The sequence below is a fragment of the Homo sapiens genome, chromosome 12 (assembly GCF_000001405.40).
Source record: "Homo sapiens chromosome 12, GRCh38.p14 Primary Assembly".
In the NCBI taxonomy this organism is placed as follows: Eukaryota; Metazoa; Chordata; class Mammalia; order Primates; family Hominidae; genus Homo; species Homo sapiens.
In genome coordinates this window covers 9,095,189-9,111,848 of record NC_000012.12, presented here as the reverse complement: position 1 = coordinate 9,111,848, position 16,660 = coordinate 9,095,189, and the positions used below count along the sequence as shown (strand labels likewise).

The 16,660-nt window shown below is 37.2% G+C and overlaps 2 protein-coding genes across 8 annotated transcripts in view; one reads left to right on the top strand and one right to left on the bottom strand.

Moving 5' to 3' along the window:
- KLRG1 (killer cell lectin like receptor G1) overlaps positions 1-16,660 on the bottom strand; it is a 265,527-nt gene that overhangs the window by 103,722 nt on the left and 145,145 nt on the right. The window lies entirely within an intron of this gene.
- The window catches only part of A2M (alpha-2-macroglobulin), a 48,522-nt gene that overhangs the window by 4,381 nt on the left and 27,481 nt on the right, over positions 1-16,660 (top strand). For all 5 annotated transcript variants that reach the window (NM_001347423.2, NM_001347425.2, NM_000014.6 and 2 more), the window contains 12 exons: positions 1,515-1,535; positions 1,814-1,982; positions 2,444-2,528; positions 4,205-4,325; positions 5,244-5,358; positions 5,504-5,613; positions 7,449-7,610; positions 10,175-10,402; positions 10,642-10,705; positions 12,326-12,468; positions 13,093-13,242; positions 16,149-16,310. In NM_001347423.2, coding sequence (NP_001334352.2) covers positions 1,515-1,535; positions 1,814-1,982; positions 2,444-2,528; positions 4,205-4,325; positions 5,244-5,358; positions 5,504-5,613; positions 7,449-7,610; positions 10,175-10,402; positions 10,642-10,705; positions 12,326-12,468; positions 13,093-13,242; positions 16,149-16,310 — 1,530 coding nt within the window. The remainder of the gene's footprint in view (positions 1-1,514; positions 1,536-1,813; positions 1,983-2,443; positions 2,529-4,204; positions 4,326-5,243; positions 5,359-5,503; positions 5,614-7,448; positions 7,611-10,174; positions 10,403-10,641; positions 10,706-12,325; positions 12,469-13,092; positions 13,243-16,148; positions 16,311-16,660) is intronic.

The following is a 16,660-nucleotide window of genomic DNA, read 5'->3' as shown; positions in this document are numbered from 1 at the left end:
GCTCAAAAAACATTTTAAAGATTTAGATTTTTTCTATACACATCTACCAAAATCTTCACTATAAAGGAAAGTCAGGGTAATTAATTTGTTCCTCAAGACTAACTCTTGGTATCTGTGATAAGAAACAGTTCTTTCTATTGTAATGCAGACATCAACCCAAAGTCTTCATTTTTCTCTCCCAAATTAACTTCTTCACATTTTCTTATCTCAAAAAGAGGCAACTCTTCTCTTCTAGCTCCAAAGACAAAAGATTATGGCCTAGTTCTTGTTTCTCTTTCTCTCATACCCACATCCACTTCACTGGAAAATCATGTTGGCTTAAAATATATTCAGACTATTTCTTATCATCTGAACTACTGCTGCAAGCTAGTCCTAGTCAATGTCATCTCTAAATAAGATCATTACAATAACCTTCAAAGTGGTCTCCCAGCTTCTACTTTCACTCCTCTGTCTAAAATGAGGCACCACACCCATCACTCTGTCAGCCTAACTTGGCTTTGTTTTTCTATTTGCACTTACCACCATTCTATACGTATTGATTTTTAAAAATCTGCCTATTTCTATTATAACATAAGCTCCATTAAAACATGGTTTATTGTTCTTTTGTGCGTGGTTATATTCTCAATACCTAGAATGATACACAGCGCATGAGAAGGTACTTAATAAAGATTAGTTTTTAAAAATGAATAAACATTCATAGTAGCTTCTTATCAATGTTTATTCATTTTTAAAAGTAATATTTATTAAACTAAATTTATTAATGAAATATGTCCATTCCTCCTCATTCTTAGAACTACGTAAGAATTCTATGACCCATCTTAATGATTACATCTGAACATATTTACTTATAGTTACATAAGTGTTTATTTCTCAACCTGTAAAATTGCATAGCAAAGGATTGATCTTCACTAGGATGCTATAAGCACTTAAGACATGTTAATCCATTTTTAGTAAATGGCACTTTACATGTATATTTGTTGCTGAAGGCCTAGTAAGTTCTTAACATTATTTATTAATTGCTTAAAATAGATTAATGAAAAGTTCTATAAAATTTAATCTGGAATATTTCTGTATTTCACTATAGAGGGAATTATTCTATATGAAACTAATTTAGATTTTTTAAACTTTTTATTGTTTTTAATTTTTGTGGAAACATAGCAGGTATATATATTTATGGGTTACATGAGATATTTTGATACAGGCATGCAGTGCATGATAATGATTATGGATGATAATCATTATCATTATCCATATCATTATCCAATCATGGATAATGATTATTATCATGCATTGCATGCCTGTATCAATAAATGGAGTACCCATCCCCTCAAACATTTATTCTTTGTGTTACGAACAAATCCAATTATACTTTTAGTTATTTTTAAATGTACAATTAAATTATTTTTTACTATACTCACCCTGTTATGCTAGCAAATACTAGCTGCTTTGCTTATAAATGAGATTTAAGAATATTTGAAAATAATTATAAACTTCTTTTTTCTTTTGTCTTTCAGATTCCACTAGTATACATTCAGGTAAGCAACATGAAACATTCCATATTAAAAGGAAAGCAATACATATAGGGAAAATGTTCTTATTTCAGAGGTTTTTACAATATCTCAGAAACTTGTCATTAAAGGAGAAGCCTTCAAACTCCCATAGAGCTAGATGGCTATAACTCATCTCCTCTACTCACCCTTTACTACTACCCCATTTGACCTTTTTGTAGATAACTTAGGGTTTCCATAGATATCTTTTATTAGCTCCAATGCTCCAGGTGCTTTTGTAAGTTATAATTAATTTACTCATATAGGATCCCAAAGGAAATCGCATCGCACAATGGCAGAGTTTCCAGTTAGAGGGTGGCCTCAAGCAATTTTCTTTTCCCCTCTCATCAGAGCCCTTCCAGGGCTCCTACAAGGTGGTGGTACAGAAGAAATCAGGTGGAAGGACAGAGCACCCTTTCACCGTGGAGGAATTTGGTATGGATCATGAAAAGTCATCAAGCATTATTTTTCTTCATATTTAAACTCTTAGGTCCTGGAATTTAAGTTCATTTGGAGTCTTTCCATTTCCCATGGGTGACATTGGGCTTGGAGTAGAATTAATTACACCTAAGTCCAATGAGGACATCAGTGATCTGTGAATAGGACTTCACATAGCTTCGTTATTTTCTGTAGCAATATTTAATACCAACCCCCAAAATTAAAACATTCTTGTTTTAATGGAGTTTTCCATAATTAATTAAGCACACAGTGATCTCTCATAGTCCCTCAACTGAAATCTTCATTTGAGAGGAGGATAGATAAGAATAGATTGGAGAGCAGAGCTACCTTTTCAGAGCCCTAAAATATTATTAGGGAACTGTTACAGGGAACCTGAAAATAGGAATTCCCCCAAAGTTGAAAACCAATCACCAACCTTCTTTATCACCAATCAACAGTTCTTCCCAAGTTTGAAGTACAAGTAACAGTGCCAAAGATAATCACCATCTTGGAAGAAGAGATGAATGTATCAGTGTGTGGCCTGTGAGTTCATTTTTTAAAAATCTTTTGTGGGGGATTATTTAAAAGAGACTCACCATTTGGGATATTTTAACTACTCTCTCCGGGAGCAGTGGCAACACAAAAATTTTAAGTGCTTTGACAGCATCCTCATCTGTAGAATGTTATTCTCCTGTTGCTTTTCTATTTTTATTTTCTTTCACGTTCTTATCAGTATTATTCTATCATGAGGTAAGAAACTGTTTCTAGAGAGGTTATGCTAATAGGATTGATTCTGAAAGTGACAAAACTGCACACACACACACACACAAAATGGGAAGGGTGGATAGTGTTGAAGGGTATTGGTTCTGCCTTAACCAAAAATAACCAAACGTATATTAGGGAGATAATTAACACATGGCTATAGGGGAAATTCAATCATCAACAGATCATTTACCTGACCTTGCATGCTTACTGGAAAAATCACTTAGATTCAGAATTTGTAGAGATAGGCATACAACTGAAATCTCATCTAACTCACTAGTCCACCTAAGGCGGGTCTACATACCTGTCTGCACTGACATTTTTACGAAGAGACTGAACGTGATTTCTCAAGACAGTCTGTTCCAACCTTGAAAAGTCTTGTTTCCTGGATCTTATGTTCCCATCCATGGTGGCACACAGTAGCAGTAGCAGGAAGAGCAGGTATAGTCCTGTCCAAAGATCACACATGTAATACACCTACTATTCAGCTAGGCCCCTGCTCCAGTTCTGTCTCACAGTGATGGCCAAGTTCCTGGTTCCTCATAACTGGTGTGATCTTGCAAATAGACATACAGAGGACATTCTCAAATAGGAAAGGAGACAAATGCACTTGGAAACCCAGCAATTGTCTATGACATATTTACGACACAATCCCACTTTTGTAAAAAAGTAAACAGGCCCGGCGTGGTGGCTCACGCCTGTAATCCCAGCACTTTGGGAGGCTGAGGTGGGCAGATCACGAGGTCAGGAGATCAAGACCATCCTGGCTAACATGGTGAAACCCCGTCTCTACTAAAAAATACAAAAAATTAGCCAGGCATGGTGGCCAGCGCCTGTAGTCCCAGCTACTTGGGAAGCTGAGGCAGGAGAATGGCATGAACCCAGGAGGTGGAGGTTGCAGTGAGCCAAGATCGCACCACTGCACTCCAGCCTGGGCGACAGAGCGAGACTCCATCTCAAAAATAAAATAAAATAAAATAAAATAAAATAAAATAAAATAAACAAGTGAAACTCGATATAGAGATGGCTGCACATGGGGAGAGGATGATGGAAGAAGAGACACTATCGTACTAATAGTTTGTATTCCTAGGTAGACTTGAGGGCGTTTGGGTTTTTTTTGTTCTGTTTTGTTTTGTTTGTTTCGTCTTGCTGGTATTGTTTCTCTTTTAAGAACGGGTTTAAGTTTTATAATAAGAAAGACTTTTTTAAGATAAAACTAAAAAAAAACGAGGAAAAAAAAGAAATGATAAAAGAAGAATGTAAATTTCAGCATGTTGCAATGGAGATTTCTATAAGAGCCATTAGTGACTCTTGTCTTCAATATTGTGTGAGCCCAGCAGAGAGCAGAGGGAAGTACAGACAGGGAATATACTGTAGCTAAAGGGGAGATATAAATAGCTAGAAAATGGGGAGGTTCAGTGTCTGCTCTGATTCCTTTGGGAATGTTCTCATGACAGATACACATATGGGAAGCCTGTCCCTGGACATGTGACTGTGAGCATTTGCAGAAAGTATAGTGACGCTTCCGACTGCCACGGTGAAGATTCACAGGCTTTCTGTGAGAAATTCAGTGGACAGGTAGGTTGAACACTATTTTTTCTAGAGAATAGCGATAAAGGCATTGTTGAAAAGCAGTGAGTTGCAGCATTTTTCTGACGCAGGAAGAGAACAATCTAGAAGAGAATTCCATGTTGGCTATTGTAATTTTTCAAAAAAAATCATGAACTTAGCACAATGGGAATTATTTATTTCTCGTAATTGCCCATTGTGAGTGTTTCAGAACGATAGACACTGAGCCATCTAAAGCCTCCATGGGCATTCACTTCTACAAAGGAAGGAAAAAACCATACACCTCTTAATTGCCTTAGCTGGCCAGGCCATCAGTTCTGCTCTCTCTGTGAACAAGAACCTATCACATGGCCCCACCAAGATGCCAGAGAGTTGACAAACACAGTCCCCATATAGAAGGCCGCTTCCCAGCCACAGCTGAATATTATGGAGGAGGAACCAGACTTTGATGAGGAGTTCTAATGGTCAAGAGCAGATGTACTGTGTATTTCAAAATAGCAAGTGGACAGGACTTGAACTATTTCCAACACATAGAAATGATACATACTTGAGTTGGTAGGCACCCTAAATCCCGCGATGTGATCATTACACATTCTCTGCATGTAACAAAATATCTCGTGTACCCCATAAATATGTATAAATATTATGCATCCTTTGTACAAAAAAAATTACTCCTCAAATTTTAAGACATTTCTATCGCAATATATCTAGGGAATTTCAGATACCAAGGAATACATCTGTCAATTATACATGAGATATTGTTGTGAAATTTAATATTTAGTTGCTAGAGAATATTTATTGTGTCCTCGTCATAGAAAATGCCTACATGATGTTGTCCCCCCACAAAAATCACACCGGTTATCTGACCACTGATCTATTTAGTATAATATGCATTATATTTTTGTATTTTATTTTCTCCCTTCTTAGCTAAACAGCCATGGCTGCTTCTATCAGCAAGTAAAAACCAAGGTCTTCCAGCTGAAGAGGAAGGAGTATGAAATGAAACTTCACACTGAGGCCCAGATCCAAGAAGAAGGAACAGGTTTGTGTACTACATGGGTATAAGAGAAAACACAACAGGCATTGATTTTCTTAGCCAAATAATGAATTGTAAGTTGGGGGGAGGTGATAGAATTTTAGAGACATCATTCTTCCCAAAAATAACAGATTTTTTTCTCTTTTTTCAGTGGTGGAATTGACTGGAAGGCAGTCCAGTGAAATCACAAGAACCATAACCAAACTCTCATTTGTGAAAGTGGACTCACACTTTCGACAGGGAATTCCCTTCTTTGGGCAGGTGGAGTATTTTCCAGTTCACTCATCAACCCATGTACTGTTACCTAATTAGCACAATAGTTATGGTTTGTGCTAAAACCATGCCTGGTTAATGTTATCATTTAATATAACCAAAAGTATAAAATATCACCAAGGCTTGATTAGTATAACCAAAGGTATAAAACTACATAAAAATAGATTTATTCTTCTGTAAATTTGTGTATGAAATGTATGTAATTATCCTAAGGCCTTATTAAAATTAGTAGAGTTTTCCCCCCTTCTTTTGAAACAGCATTGTACAAGTCACTCAATCTCCTTCTCATGGTTTACCAGGCAGTCTCAGGTTTTTATGACATTTTCTCACAAGAATCTCAAAATTCATGCTGACCAGTTTCATTACGATGCTAACACTAACTTTGTATGGAAACAGGTGGGTAGGTGGTTTTAATTTTTATTTTGAAGTATTAAAGATTCTACAATAATGTTTATTTCATGGATAGTATATTTACACTATTTTTCTATAACAAGTATATTTCTAAAACAGTGAACATGGGGTAAAACACTGCTATTTAAGGTTCTCAGATTTTTGAATTATGAATTTTCATGTTATCTACCAAAAAAATCTTCTCTTACAATTTTTCTGTTGTCAGCAGATGTGCAAATGGATCTTTATGACTCTAGAAGTCTGAGATCACAGTTACATGTGCCTCAATGTGTATTTACTGTGTATCATTTTCTTAATGTAAATGTTACAGGATTTCAGCTATGAAGGGTGTAAAAGAGGCATAGACTCAACAAAGTGGAGTACATTCTAGAAGGCTTGGTTATGTCATGACACCAAAATGTATTCAACTTCCTAAAATGAAAGTGTAGCTCATTTGTAAATTTCTCAGAAAGATAGTGTACTTTGTAAGTACATTTTATTGCTGTTAAATATCCTATTTGTCATAAGACTCTCTAGCTAGAAGAAAATCAGAATTATGTGCCTATTCTTGTCTTTGTACATGCAGCCAACATTTCACTGGCAAACTTAGATTTTGTAAATCAATTATGAGTACTGATGGGGGTCAGCCTATTGTTCTTCCTGCTACCAACTGTAGCTTATACTGAAAAAGAATTGCCACCTTTACAATCTGAACTGGACTACTCAACTGCCAATACAATATTAGCAGTAAATTAGATTTGGCAACTTATTTAATACTGTGTGCCTCTTTTCAATTTTATATTTTTCACATGGGAAGTGTGTCATAAAATCTGCCTACCTTCCAAAAGGCTGAAGATCTAGGTTGAGAAGCAGAGACCATGTCTAAGGCAACTGGAGAAACACACAGGACAATGTATTGGCAATTGTTTACTTGTGCACTTATGAGACTTCAGACACTAATCTATAGGAAGTTAATGGTCCACTCCAAAATAGGTGTTTGGGGCACAAATAAATTTAGTTAATAGATTAATAGATTAAAATATTTCATTATCATATTACTCTAGTGCTCTGTGACTCTCTAAGAGTTATATATAATAATACACAGCACTTCCAAAATATCTAGAAGACATTTTTCAGGTCACTCTTGTTATTATCCCTATCACTCTCTATCCCTTCACACTGCTCTGTTTTTCTTCTTAGGATTGATTACTACTAAATTAGTGTATGTTATGTATATATTTATTTAGCATCTATCTCTTTCACTAGACAGTAAGCTCTGTGATGGAAGAAACTTCGTTTTTTTTCACTGCTGTGTCCTCAGTGCCTGGAACCATGTTCAACATAGAGGAGGCACTAAAAAATGTGATAAATGAATATGTTTGGTGCCTATTAGTTATTACCAATATAACTAATCCACAGCTTTTAATCTTCAGGTGCGCCTAGTAGATGGGAAAGGCGTCCCTATACCAAATAAAGTCATATTCATCAGAGGAAATGAAGCAAACTATTACTCCAATGCTACCACGGATGAGCATGGCCTTGTACAGTTCTCTATCAACACCACCAATGTTATGGGTACCTCTCTTACTGTTAGGGTAAGTTTGGAAAGAAATTACCAATGACATGAAGTAGCCTTGGAAACAAGGTTGCAACCTAAGGGTGAGAAAATTTCCAAACTGTGTCTAGTTCTATGGAGAGAAAAAAACTAGCAATTAGAAACCGATTGAAGGTTAACTTTTTTAAAGTTTATGAAAAGAAGGCAGTATATTGTGATTAAAAGTGCGGGTTAGACTTTAGCAGTGTTGCTGGGAACGTAAAATGGCGGAGCCACTATGAAAAACAGTATAGTAGTTCCTGAAAAAATTAAAAAATAGAATTACCAAATGATCCAGTAATCCTACTTCTGGACATATATTCAAAAGAATCGAAAACGGGGTCTCAAAGAGCTATTTGCACACCCGTGTTCATAGCCGCACTATTCACAATAGCTGAGAGATCGAGGCTACCCAAATGTCCATCAAGGGATGAACAGGTAAACAAAATGTGGTATATAAATACAACAGAATATTATGCAGCCTGAGAAGGGAAGAAAATCCTGTCACATGCTACAGCATGAATGATCCTTGAGGACGTTATGGTAAGTGAAATAAGCTAGTCACAAAAAGACCAATACTGTATGATTCACGTACATGGGGTTTCTAAAGTAGTCAAAGTCATAGAAACAGAAAACAGGATGGTGGTTGCCAAGGGCTAGGGAAAGAGAGAAATGGGGAATTCCTCTTATTGGTATTCAGGTTTAGTTTTACAAGATGAAAAGTTCTGGAGATCTGTTGCACAACAGATATACTTAATACTACCAAACTGTACACTAAAGAATAATGAAGATGGTAATTTTATGTTGTGTGTGTGTGTGTGTTTATAATAACTTTTTTGAAAAGTGTGAATTCCAGAATCTGAATCAGATAAAGTGGTTAAAAATACTGGCTCAACCCTATTTTAAGGAATTAACTAAAACCTCTGTGCTTCATTTCCTTATCTGTAAAATGATTGCAATACTAACACCTGACTCTTGGGGTGGTTGTGAAGATTAAGTGAAATCATACATGTTGAATCACTTAGTAAGCCCCCTTTAACTGTTAGATACTTTTACTATAAAAGCCAATTCTAACATAATTAGCATTTAGTTTTAAATATATATACTCCAAAAATTATTACCTTACTTTATTTTGTCTTGCTATTCTAATTTTCTCCAGATGACCTGTTCATACCAATATAAGTTATTCGGTATAGCATGCAGTCCTCTATTCATCAAGAGAGATGTAGACATGTCTATAGATACATGGATATACAATACATATTTAATATATATTACATAATCATGGTAATGGAAAACGCCTGCCTCTTTAGAGTTTTACCTTGTTATAGAGAAATAAATAATACATTTTATTTATTTAGCTTTAATAGATGGCATAAAAGCACCTCCCTCTAATTTGAATGTTTACTCATTTCAAAAAGTGTCTTGAATGCTTTCCACGTGCCAGCACTGTGCTAGTCTTGACAATGAAATTATTATTTCTACCTGTTCCCTGTTTGGGGTGATCATATATGTGTTGTCACCAAAATATACATTAAGATATGAACAAAATGTTTTGCTCAAGGATTCACTAGTGCTATTGGGAGCTGGGGATGAAGGTAGAGGAAGCCTGAAAGGAGCTAAGGAATAACTTCTACAGGAAGAAAAGTTGGAAATATAACCCAAATAGGGCCTCTGAGGTATTAGAATCCAGATTGCAGGGAGCATTAAAAATAGTCAGCCTAGGCCAGGCACGGTAGCTCACGCCTGTAATCCCAGCACTTTGGGAGGCTGAGGTGGGTGGATTGCGTGAGGCCAGGAGATCGAGACGAGCCTAGGCAACGTGGTGAAACCCTGTCTCTACAAAATATACAAAAAATTAGCTGGGTGGGGTGGCATGCACCTGTAGTCCTAGCAACTCAGGAGGCTGACTGGGAGGATCACTTGAGCCCCAGAGGCAGAGATTGCACTGAGCCAAGATTGTGCCACTGTACTCCAGCATGGGCGCCAGAGCAAAACCCTGTCTCAAAAAAATAATAATAATAGCAATCAGCCTAAGATAGCCCAGAAGAGGTAGACTTCAGCTAATTCATCAGCTCAGCTCTTAAACCAATGCTTTCTACCAATGTCTTCTCAGACCCCTAAGGTTACAATATTTTATTTATTCATAATACCCATTCAAAATCCACCCTAAAAGAGGCAGCTGCTTTCTGAAAGCACAGTTCTTCCATTTCTAGAGATTATTTACTCTCCTCAATGAAGTTTCATAGCTCCAGTGTCTCTAATTGCACAGGTAAAGCAGTCAAAGAAATTTCAAGCAAGCTAATCAGAGCAAAGGATGCCTCCTTTTATGCTCTTAAGAAATATAAATCTCAATCCCAGGAGGCTCTGCAGTGTAAAGTCACAAAGCATGCCTACATTTGAAGCAGAGAAACAAAATCAGGGGTCCTTCTCCCACTTTTCATTGTGGAACAAAAGATTTCTAGCTACTAGTTAAGGTAGGACAGTAAACTTACGTAGTTTTGTGAGAACATTAATCTTTATGACGTATAATCTAAAAATAATATAATTTTTCTAATTCATTAGGTCAATTACAAGGATCGTAGTCCCTGTTACGGCTACCAGTGGGTGTCAGAAGAACACGAAGAGGCACATCACACTGCTTATCTTGTGTTCTCCCCAAGCAAGAGCTTTGTCCACCTTGAGCCCATGTCTCATGAACTACCCTGTGGCCATACTCAGACAGTCCAGGCACATTATATTCTGAATGGAGGCACCCTGCTGGGGCTGAAGAAGCTCTCCTTCTATTATCTGGTGAGAAGGGAGGTTACTGCGTTGACTTCACTGTAGACAAAAGCTCTCTGTGGAGCAAGTAATCATGAAGCTCTTTAGATGTCATTACTTCAACTTCTTATCCATGTTCCTTTTGAAAGTTTGATTTCTCTTGAGGTGAATTATTGCCGGCAGGGACTCAATAAAACAAGTATATTGAAGTGAGACTGAAGCGTGTTCTCTCTGGCACATTTAATTTCTTTTTATTTCCTTTTTTGCAGATAATGGCAAAGGGAGGCATTGTCCGAACTGGGACTCATGGACTGCTTGTGAAGCAGGAAGACAGTGAGTATTTCCATCATCTCTGCATTGCTGCCCCATTCTGACCCATTCAGCCTTACACCACGGAAGTATCAGAATACTTTCCCTTTTTTTCCATAGGTTTTTGGGGGAACAGGTGGTGTTTGGTCACATGAATGAATAAATTCTTTGGTAGTGATTTCCGAGATTTTGGTGCACCCATCACCCGAGCAGTATACATTGTACCCAATTTGCAGTCTTTTATCCCTCACCCCCTTCCACCCTTCCCCCTGAATCCACAAAGTCCATTGTATCATTCTTATGCCTTTGCATCCTCATAACTTAGCTCCCACTTCCTAATAGCTTAGCTGCCACTTCCTAATAGCTTAGCTCCTACTTCTGAGTGAGAAGATATGATGTTTGGTTTTCCATTCCTGAGCTGGGAATATCAGGAATACTTTCAAGTAACGAGAGACCATTTCCATCTAATATTAATTAAAAGAAAGTTGAGGGAGGGAAAACAATAATGGTTTTTTTCTCACCCTTTATCAAATATGTGTTGTCTTTTTTTTCAGCCTATTTTCTTTGCGTTATTTAAAATATTGGTGTGGGCCAGCTATGATGGCTTACGCCTGTAATCCCAGTACTTTGGGAGAACGGGATGGGAGGATCTCTTGAGGTCAGGAGTTTGAGACCAGCCTGGTCAACATAGTGAGACCCCATCTCTATAAAAGTAAATAAATAAATAAATAAATAAATAAGAACAAAGGGGGAAAAATAAAATACATAAAATATTGTTGTGTATAATCTATGCTTATTCCAGATTTTTAAACCATAAATATTCTTGAACCTCTTCTCAAAATGAGAATTGTGTTAGAGAATGGGGTGGAGAAAATGTACGATTTCAAGGTATGTTGTATATACCAGGTCTTGTGCTGAGTCATTTATGTCATTTATATTATTATAAATATCTTTTTTCCCTTTCAAGATAGTTATGATTTATGAAGCATTAAATTGGGTACTTCTACCGACTGAAGCGGACTCTTGCCATGAGCAAATATGTCATAATATAAACCTTTGAAGGTTGCTCCTAGTCTAGTAGACTCTAAAAGATAACTTGCTAGAAAAGTATCAGTAATCTACTCTCTCATTAGTTCTTGTAGCAACACAGAAGCACCATAGCAGACTGAAGGAAACTTAATGCAACCTCTAAAGAATCTACATAGGCATCAAAAAATAACTTCTGAAGGAGCATGGTGTTCCTCTTATGGAGAAAGAACCAAATATTGGCTCATAGAAGGTTAAAGAGCATGTAGCATGAATACAATGTGTTGAACTCTTACTCTTACATCTCATAACTTCAGGTTCTATTTCCCTCTTCTAGTATGAGGCCTAGATCAAATGGTAGTGAATTGGATGTCTTCATACCCTTAACTAGCATCAGAACATTAGGTGGGTGAGCTGAAGCTTAAAGCTGGTGAAAAATCAACAGAGTATATGATTTATGAGAGGAGAGAGGGCTTTGATAGGGTTTTTTTCTAAAGCTAGAGTCCTTAGAGGTAATCATCCATTTGTTACATCTACTGTTTATTATGTCTGTTACATCTACTAATGGAAATAGTCATTAACCTATGATGGCTTCCTCTCATTCTCTTTGTGCCCCAGTGAAGGGCCATTTTTCCATCTCAATCCCTGTGAAGTCAGACATTGCTCCTGTCGCTCGGTTGCTCATCTATGCTGTTTTACCTACCGGGGACGTGATTGGGGATTCTGCAAAATATGATGTTGAAAATTGTCTGGCCAACAAGGTGTGTGTTTTAGATCATAAAATCTTCAACATGTAAAACTAGAAGTTACTATTGTTATCATTTGTTTTACACATGTGAACATTAGGGCCAAAAGGGTTAAACAAATTCCCCAGAGACATTCAGCAAGGTAGTGGCAGAGTCACACTAAGAAGCAGAATCACTTGATTCCTTATACAAAACTCTCAAACTTCTCCTAGCAGTGCCTCTTACCAATTACACAGTTCAGAGTATGTTATTCCCTTCTTCTATGATGAAACGTTGGGAAATATGTAAGCAAGTTTTTAAGACTACTAAGGAGCCAAAAGAAAAATGCAAGAGCACCTAGACCCATGCATGTCCCACCACAATTAATGAGCACCTTGCCGTGTATCAAAGATAAAAATGGCATTTCATGACTAGTAATTTATAAGAATAATTAGAAATAATTCTACTGGCTCAAGTGATTCTTGAGAATGAAAGAGAAGTGTAGGGAACAAAAAGCTTCAGGATTGACACAATGCCAACCCTCCACGAAGTCAAGCAGAGTGGTTATACATTGTACATGAGGAACACTCTGCAAATGCGAGTGAATGCATGGGTAAACCTGGAAATTTGCTTTTCTGACCTTTTGTTCCAATTTCACAGGTGGATTTGAGCTTCAGCCCATCACAAAGTCTCCCAGCCTCACACGCCCACCTGCGAGTCACAGCGGCTCCTCAGTCCGTCTGCGCCCTCCGTGCTGTGGACCAAAGCGTGCTGCTCATGAAGCCTGATGCTGAGCTCTCGGCGTCCTCGGTGAGTTCCTGGCAGCCTCAGGAATCAAGAAGGGCCGTGCCAGGGGCTCAGAGCAAGGAAAAATGACTGGATAAGTAGGATAAGATCAATTAAAATTATATTTATCTAGGAATTAATTGCTTTGAGCTCTCTTGTGGGCTTTCATTGGTAAGGAATTATATATATATATATATATAACTACTCACTTCTGCAGTTAAAAAAATAAACAAAATACAATATATTGAATCAAATAAAAGAATTTTTAAAAGGACAAAATGTGATGAAAATTAACAACCAAAAAAGGACTCGTTATTCAGACACGTTAAGCTTCTTGCTCAAGAGCACATAGCAATACAAATTCAAATCTTCTGATTGTGTCAGGACATCCGTATATGCAAGGCTGGAGAGAATACAGAGCAGATTGTGAAAAGTGCTATATGAGAAGTGCAGTTATGCAAAATAAAAGAAAGGATTAACTGAGCAACCGGGGAAGCCGTTCGAAAATTATATATTTAAAATGTAAAAAGACCATACAGTACCCAAAGTCCTTAAAATCCCAGAGCTCCATGCAACCAGTAATAGGAGTTGTCAAACTAGTTTCAACATTTCAAAAAGCCTAACAAAAGTGATACATATACCTGCACTGAGGCTATACAGGCTAAATGAAATATCAGATTTCCGTTTTTATAAGAATTATGGCTGGGCCTGGTGGCTCACGCCTGTAATCCCAACACTGGGAGGCCAAGGCAGGCAGATAACTTGAGATCAGGAGTTTGAGACCAGTCTGGCCAATATAATGAAACCCCGTATCTACTAAAAATACAAAAATTAGTCAGACGTGGTGGCGGGCGCCTGTCATCCCAGCTACTCAGGAGGCTGAGGCAGGAGAATCACTTGAACCCAGGAGGCAGAGGTTGAGTGAGCCGAGATCGTGCCACTGCACTCCAGCCTGGGCAATAGAGCAAGACTTGGTGTCAAAAAAAAAAAAAAAAAAAGAATTACATCAGTTGAAATAATTGCTGTCCCAAGCTACACATAATTTCTGAGGGAACATATGTATTATCTCTGAGGAACAAAACTTAGGGAAATTGAACTACTATATAATTGACATTGATAACTGAACTCTTTGAAAATATGGAGCTAATAGAAGAAATACCAAAAGGATATGCTGAATTGGAACAACAAAAACTAGTTAATAGCATGTACTAATAGTAGTTTGCTCACATCTTCAAATTTTTAATATGAGACCAATTGTAATAACCTCTTACTGAAGCTTTTTCTACTACCATAATTTAACAAAGAGAAATTTATATTTTTATTTTCCTGAAATAGAAACTTATAAAAAAATGTTTCTTACTTGTTTGTCCTTCTAATGGGATTTTAACTGAAAATATTAGAATACTTCTAAAGGAAGCATCAAGTACATTTCAACAGTAGGATCTCAAGAGGATATGTGGGAAAATAATATACATGTTTTATACTTTTATAATATAATTTTATAATTCTCAAAGAATTTTTCAAATTATAACAACCCTGATGGGTAGATAAGGCAGACAGTCCTATTTATTAATAATAAAGCAGAAGCTTTCAGGGATTTAGTAGTAGACCTGAGTTAAAACACCAACTCTTCTCAAGCTTTGATTAGTGTCTTACCAATGAAACACTTTGCTGCTACTAGTGTAGGTCATTCATTCAACACATTTATTTAATGCCCACTGTGTTCTAGGTATTATACTAAGTGCTAGTAGAGATCAAGCAGTGAGCTACTGGAAAGATAAAAATGTATGTCTCATGGAACTTACATTGTCTGTCCCATAGATGAGACAGACAATAATTATGCAATATGCCACAATAAAAGCAGGGAGAGGAAATGAGAAATGTTAAGATACTTTGAGAAAGTGTCTAATTTCATCACACCACTCACTTTGCTCATCTGTTCTTGTCAATCAGTTTTAAACTCCTACGAATATAATGCAATGTAACTATCACAATTTTTATGTCTGTCTTACTTCTCACCTTCAAATGGACTTGAAAGCATCATGCCTAGAATTTTACGGTTAAAGTTGTATGTATTATATGAAGATCTGGAGCATTTTGTTTCCACTAATAATACCTAAGAAAATGCCATCGTGTCCTGTGGAGAGAGGATATTCCTATTCGTGTGCCTGTTTAGAACATGCACCCATTAACTTTGCTATATACTGAGTCAGTTGCTCACCACAAGATAAGCACAAAACTATCATTTCCTTCTATCATCTCAAAGCTTTGTGCAATGTCACAAATACAGCAGACCTCGATTTTTCAATTAATAAAGTTTTATTTCATTCCAGTGTTGAGTCTAGTGGTGGCCTCTGAACTGTGTAACGAAGTAGTACTTAGTACTTAGATGAGTACTTAGATGGAGTGTTTGGTTTTTCCTAAAATTGTTAAACATCTTCAAAATGAAAACACTGTGTCAAGAAAATGATCCATACCCTCTATAAATCATCAAAGCAATGAGAGCGCTCAAAGAAAGACGGATGTTCATTATTCCTGTTCTTTTCTCCTTGAACTTAAAAAATGTCACAAAGGCCGGGCGCGGTGGCTCACGCCTGTAATCCCAGCACTTTGGGAGGCCGAGGCGGGTGGATCATGAGGTCAGGAGATCGAGACCATCCTGGCTAACAAGGTGAAACCCCGTCTCTACTAAAAATACAAAAAATTAGCCGGGCGCGGTGGCGGGCGCCTGTAGTCCCAGCTACTCGGGAGGCTGAGGCAGGAGAATGGCGTGAACCCGGGAAGCGGAGCTTGCAGTGAGCCGAGATTGCGCCACTGCAGTCCGCGGTCCGGCCTGGGCGACAGAGCGAGACTCCGTCTCAAAAAAAAAAAAAAAAAAAAAAAAAAAAGTCACAAATAAGTTTGCCTTTTTGTCTTTCGTATTTGTACAGGTTTACAACCTGCTACCAGAAAAGGACCTCACTGGCTTCCCTGGGCCTTTGAATGACCAGGACAATGAAGACTGCATCAATCGTCATAATGTCTATATTAATGGAATCACATATACTCCAGTATCAAGTACAAATGAAAAGGATATGTACAGCTTCCTAGAGGTAAACTCCTTATGTTGCAGATGGTCTGATCTTAAGCTTCTTAAAATATTACACATGGAAAAGAGTCTGTATTTGAATGCCTTCATGTCCTAGTTGAGGGTAATGGGATATAAAGAGGTAAGTGGCTTCTCTACTAATAGCAGCAGATCTGCGAAAAGCTGCTGAACTAAGCTGGAACTTTTTGGAGTATTATTCAAGTTTTCTTTTTTCACAGGAATTAATTGCTCTGTGATGTTTATTAAAATCACATATACAAAATAATTACTGTTGAAAGAGTTTAATGAAAAGAATAAAATTACATCCTTAAGTATATAAATATCCCTTCTACAGATGTGAATGTTAAAAGTTTA